The 6,000-nt window shown below is 46.0% G+C and overlaps 1 annotated feature.

Annotated features, from left to right (window-relative positions):
• Positions 580–1,081: an enhancer, noted in NCBI's record as "OCT4 hESC enhancer chr12:70484701-70485202 (GRCh37/hg19 assembly coordinates)". NCBI's record gives its function as "activates a minimal SCP1, AML or CMV promoter by ChIP-STARR-seq in naive and primed H9 embryonic stem cells {active_cell/tissue: H9 hESC(naive and primed)}" and the evidence as "EXISTENCE:reporter gene assay evidence [ECO:0000049][PMID:30033119]".

The raw sequence follows: 6,000 nt of genomic DNA, 5'->3' as shown, positions 1-6,000 counted from the left end.
TGTATAGTTTGAGGTCTTACATTTAAGTATTTAATCCATCTTGAGTTAATTGTTGTATATAGTGAGAGGTAGGGGTCCAGTTTCATTCATTTGCATATGGTTAGCCAATTTTCCCAGCACAATTTATTGAATATCCTTTTCTCATTGTTTATTTTTATTGGCTTTGTTGAAAATCAGTTGGTTGTATGTGTCTTTATTTTAGGGTTCTCTATTCTGTTCCAGTTGTCTAATTTTTTAATGGAATCTTTTAAAGAGCAAAAGGTTTTAATATTGATGAAGTTTAATTTATGAATTTTTTTCTTTGATAATTAGTGTTATTTTTCTACTGTTTATGAAATTGCAGAGGCCAAAGCAACACCATCTTGAAAGCTAATCCGCCATGTTGACTTCTGACCAACCCTTGTTCCAGGAATGCCTCTGAGATTTCTAGTTTATCTATTGTTCCTTGTTTAAGATCATGCATTTACTGTATGTAAATCCTGCTTGTAGAGCAAATCAATCTTGACAAACTTGTACTTACCATAAATCCTGCCCCGGGGGAAATTCCTACCCAAGCACCTGTGCCCCTTCATTATGGTATATAATTCCTGAGTGTGGGGGACAATAGTGAGAGAGGAGAAAGGAAGAAACTGGTCAGGCAGACAGTTACGGTGGGTCCTTGATTGAATTCTTGCAGACAAAAAAACAGCCTGCAGGCACAGATAAGGGAACTTGCACAGGGGGGCTTGCCTAAGACATGCCCACAGCCACACAGATAAGAAAGGCTATACAGGGGACTTGCCCAGTCATGCCTGCAATGAAAAATTCTGTCCCCTGGCACATGCACAGTAAAGGGAACAAAGCAACATGGAGTAACTCAAGCTAAGGGCCCACATGCTCGTTAGGAGGATGGGGTGGAAATACCAGAAATCCACCCCTTATGCAAATAAGATGCCCGGCCCTCATTGGTTTCTTATAAAAGCCTTTACATTCAACTGCAAAAATGGCAACACTTTTCCAGGTACCCTGTCCACAGCAGAGAGCTTTCTTCTTTCACTTACTAAACTTTTGCTCCAACCTCACCCTTGGTACCTGCATTCCTTAACTTTCTTGGTCATGAGACAAAGGACTCTGGGTACTACCTCAGACAATGAGAGATTGCTACATTGTGGTACATTGGCGAAACTGTAACTATAGTGTAGGAATCCACCATCTTGTCTTGCCACTGCCTGAGAAACAAACATGGATTCTGTTCATAAGTTCCTATTAAACGTTTCTTTCTGAGAAACTGCATTCATCAGTCTCTTTCTTTGGCCTCTCAGCTTCCTTTTACTTTGGGATAGGTTTGCATAGGCCTGCCCACTGTGAAACAGAAATGTTTATGTACTTTCAGCTCATAAATATTTTGTTTTCTTTTAGAATTTTAATAGTTTCACCTTTACACATTGTTCATGTATTTCAAGTTCATTCTTGTGTAGATAAGGTCAGGGTCAAAGTTCCTTTTTCCCCCTGTATGTATAGGTAATTGTTTCAGCACCATCATTGAATAAAAATAATAAAAAATAGTAAGTGTAGGCTTTTCATTATGAATTCAATTTTGGAACTTATTATTGGTTTGTTCAGGGATTCAACTTCTACCTGGTTCAATCTTGGGATGCTGAATATTTCCATGAATTTGTCCATTTCTTCAAGGTTTTCTAGCTTGTTTGCACAGAGGTGTTTGTAGTTTTCATGCGCGTCCCTGTGAAGAGACCACCAAACAGGCTTTGTGTGAGCAACATGGCTGTTTATTTCACCTGGGTGCAGGTGGGCTGAGTCCGAAAAGAGAGTTAGGAAGGGAGATAGGGGTGGGGCCATTTTATAGGATTTGGGAAGGTAATGGAAAATTACAGTCAAAGGGGGTTGTTCTCTGGTGGGCAGGGGTGGATCTCACAAAGTACATTCTCAAGGGTGGGGAGAATTGCAAAGAACCTTCTTAAGGGTGGGGGAGACTACAAAGTACCTTCTTAAGGGTGGGGGAGATTACAAAGTACATTGATCAGTTAGGGTGGGGCAGGAACAAATCACAATGGTGGAGTGTCATCATTTAAGGCTGTTTTTACTTCTTTTGTGGATCTTCAGTTACTTCAGTCCATCTGGATGTATACGTGCAAGTCACAGGGGATGCGATGGCCTGGCCTGGGCTCAGAGGCCTCACATTCCTGCCTTCTTATATTAATAAGACAAATAAAACAAAATAGTGTTGAAGTGTTGGAGCGGCGAAAATTTTTGGGGGGTGGTAAGGAGAGAGAATGGGCGATGTTTCTCAGGGCTGCTTCAAGCGGGATTAGGGGCGGCGTGGGAACCTAGAGTGGGAGAGATTAAGCTGAAGGGAGGTCTTGTGGTAAGGGGTGATATTGTGGGGTTGTTAGAAGAAACATTTGTTGTGTAGAATTATTGGTGATGGCCTGGATATGGTTTTGTATGAATTGAAAAACTAAATGGAATAAGAGAAGGAGAAAAACAGGTATAAAAGGTCTAAGAATTGAGACGACTCAGGACATCTGATTAGAGAGTGCCTAAGGAGATTCAGCATAGCCCTGCCAGCAAAGATTATTTATTTACTTCAAGAGTTAAGAATGGCAGTTTGGGGATAGCACGAGGCAAGCGTGATCAGGGTGAGGAACAGGAAAGCAGGAAATATGGGGAAATGGGGTGAATATCAGGTGGATCAGAGAGATACAGTCATGAGGGTCAGGTGTGGTATCCGGAATAATGTGGGAGGCCGGATTGAAGTCCGGGCCAGGAACAATGGTAATTGCGGGAGACTCAACAAAGAGTGAGTACAGCTGAAGGAGCCGGGGAGCAGAAAGTATATGCGTCAGGTGTGAGGAAGAAAATAGATTTTGGAAATTATGAGAGCTGTAGAGAGTGAGTTGAGCATAGTTTGTGATTTTTAGGGCCTCTAACAGTATTAAAGCAGTGGCAGCCGCTGCACGCAGACGTGAGGGCTAGGCTAAAACAGTAAGGTCAAGTTGTTTGGACAGAAAGGTTACACGGTGTGGTCCTGGCTCTTGTGTAAGAATTCTGACCGCGCTAACCATGCCTAGGAAGGAAAGGAGTTGTTATTTTGTAAGGGATTGAGGTTTGGGAGATTAATCAGACACGATCAGCAGGGAGAGCAAGTGTGTTTTTATGAGAATTATGCCGAGATAGGTAACAGATGAGGATGAAATTGGGGCTTGACTGAAATAATAGGGGCTGTCTGTGAAGACTTGCGGCAGTACAGCCCAGGTAATTTGCTGAGCCTAATGGGTGTCAGGGTCAGTCTAAGTGAAGGCAAGAGAGGCTGGGATGAAGGGTGCAAAGGAATAGTAAATAAAGCATGTTTGAGATCCAGAACAGAATAATGGGTAGTAGAGGGAGGTATTGAGGATAGGAGAGTATATGGGTTTGGCACCATGGGGTGGATAGGCAAAACAATTTGGTTGATAAGGAGCAGATCCTGAACTAACTTGTAAGGCTTGTCTGGTTTTAGGACAGGTAAAATGGGGGAATTGTAAGGAGAGTTTATAGGCTTTAAAAGGCCATGCTGTAGCAGGTGAGTGATAACAGGCTTTAATCTTTTTAAAGCGTGCTGCGGGATGGGATATTGGCATTGAGCAGGGTAAGGGTGATTAGGTTTTAGTGAGATGGTAAGGGGTGCATGATCAGTCGCCAAGGAGGGAGTAGAGGTATCTTATACTTGTGAGCTAAGGTGGGGAGATACAAGGGGAGGATGTGAAGGAGTCTTTGAACTGGGGGAAAAGGCAGCAATGAGGTGTGGCTGTAGCCCAGGAATAGTCAGGGAAGCAGATAATTTAGTTAAAGTGTCTCGGCCTAATAAGGGAACTGGGCAGATGGGGATAACTAAAAAGGAGTGCTTAAAAGAGTATTGTCTAAGTTGGCACCAGAGTTGGGGAGTTTTAAGAGGTTTAGAAGCCTGGCTGTCAATACCCACAACAGTTATGGAGGCAAGGGAAACAGGCCCTTGAAAAGAAGGTAATGTGGAGCGGGTAGCCTCCGTATTGATTAAGAAGGGGACGGGCTTACCTTCCACTGTGAGAGTTACCCGAAGCTCGGCGTCCGTGATGGTCCAGGGGGCTTCCGAGGCGATCGGGCAGTGTCAGTCTTCAGCCGCTAAGCCGAGAAGATCTGGGAAGGAGTCAGTCAGAGAGCCTTGGGCCAGAGTTCCAGGGGCTCTGGGAGTGGCTGCCAGGTGAGTTGAACAGTCTGATTTTCAGTGGGGTCCCACACAGATGGGACGCGGCTTAGGAGGAATCCCGGGCTGCGGGCATTCCTTGGCCCAGTGGCCAGATTTCCGGCACGCGTAGCAAGCTCCTGGGGGAGGAGGTTCTGGAGGAACGCCTGGCCGCTGCGGTTCGGGCATTTGGAAGTTCTTGTGTGCTGGAGATGTGGCTGGGGTTTGTCTCACAGTGGAGGCAAGGAATTGCAACTTTTTTCTATTATTGTACACCTTGAAGGCGAGGTTAATTAAATGCTGTTGTGGGGTTTGAGGGCCGGAATTTAATTTTTTGGAGTTTTATTTAATGTTGGGAGCAGATTGGGTAATAAAATGTATATTGAGGATAAGATGGCCTTTTGACCTTTTAGGGTCTAGGGCTGTAAAGCGTCTCAGGGTTGCTGCCGAACAAGCCATGAACTGGGCCGGGTTTTTATATTTGATGAAAAAGAGCCTAAACGCTTCTGATTTGGGATAAAGAAAAAGGAGCATTAACCTTGACTATGCCTTTGGCTCCAGCCACCTTTTTAAGAGTAAATTGCTGGGCAGGTGGGGGAGGGCTAGTCACGGAATGAAACTGTAAGCCTGACCAGGTGTGAGAAGGGGAGGCGATAAAAAGATTACAGGGTGCAGGAGCGGAGGCTGAGGAAGAATTGGGACCTAGCTTGGGCTGGCGAGGATGGGAGAGGTCAGATGGGTCTGTAGAAAAGGAAGATGAGAAAGACTCAGCGACGCTTGGGGTTGGGACTGAGGGGACAGGCGGGAGGGAAAGAAAGAAGATTTGGGATGAGTTGCACTGGGCACGGAGACTAGGAAGGGACTGATGTGTAAAGGAATGCCTGGACTTCAGGCACCTCAGACCATTTGCCCATTTTACGACAAGAATTATTTAGATCTTGCAGGATGGAAAAATTGAAAGTGCCATTTTCTGGCTATTTGGAACTACTGTCGAGCTTGTATTGGAGTCAAGCGGCATTGCAGAAGAAAATAAGGCATTTAGGTTTTAGGTCAGGTGTGAGTTGAAGAGGTTTTAAGTTTTTGAGAACACAGGCTAAGGGAGAAGAAGGAGGAATGGAAGGTGGAAGCTTACCCATAGTGAAGGAGGCAAGCCCAGAAAAAAGAGTAGAGATACGGAGAATGGGGGCGGGGGGGTTCTTGCCCTCCAGAAAAGCAGAGAAGGGGTTGGGGCACGGAAATAAGGGATTGCAGCACAGAGATAAGAGGTCAGGGTGCGGAAATAAGGGATTGGGGCTCAGAGATAAGAGGTTGGGGTGTGGAAATAAGTGATTGGGGATTTCTTGCCCCCTAGGAAAGCGGGACTTGCCGCTGAGGGTGAAGGAGAAGGGGTTGAGGGGTACATGCCCCTGCCCCAGGAAAGCGGGACTTGCCGCTGAGGGTGAAGGAGAAAGGGTTGAGGGGTACTTGCCCCTGCCCCAGGAAAGCGGGACTTGCCGCTGAGGGTGAAGGAGAAGGGGTTGAGGGGTACTTGCCCCTGCCCCAGGAAAGCGGGACTTGCCGCTGAGGGTGAAGGAGAAGGGGTTGAGGGGTACTTGCCCCTGCCCCAGGAAAGCGGGACTTGTCGCTAAGGCTGAAGGACCAAGGCAGGCGTCCCTGCGTGGTCTGACACCCTTGAAACGTGAGTGTATAATCAGAGAGGCGTCCCTGCAATGATTAAACACCAAGGGAAGGCTGCCTTCCCAGTCCGTGACCGGCGCTGGAGTTTTGGGTTCACGGATAAAACATGTCTCTTTTGTCTCTAC

Source organism: Homo sapiens, chromosome 12 (genome assembly GCF_000001405.40).
Source record: "Homo sapiens chromosome 12, GRCh38.p14 Primary Assembly".
In the NCBI taxonomy this organism is placed as follows: domain Eukaryota; kingdom Metazoa; phylum Chordata; class Mammalia; order Primates; family Hominidae; genus Homo; species Homo sapiens.
The sequence above is the reverse complement of the archived record's forward strand: the minus strand, read 5'-3'. Positions and strand labels throughout refer to the sequence as shown.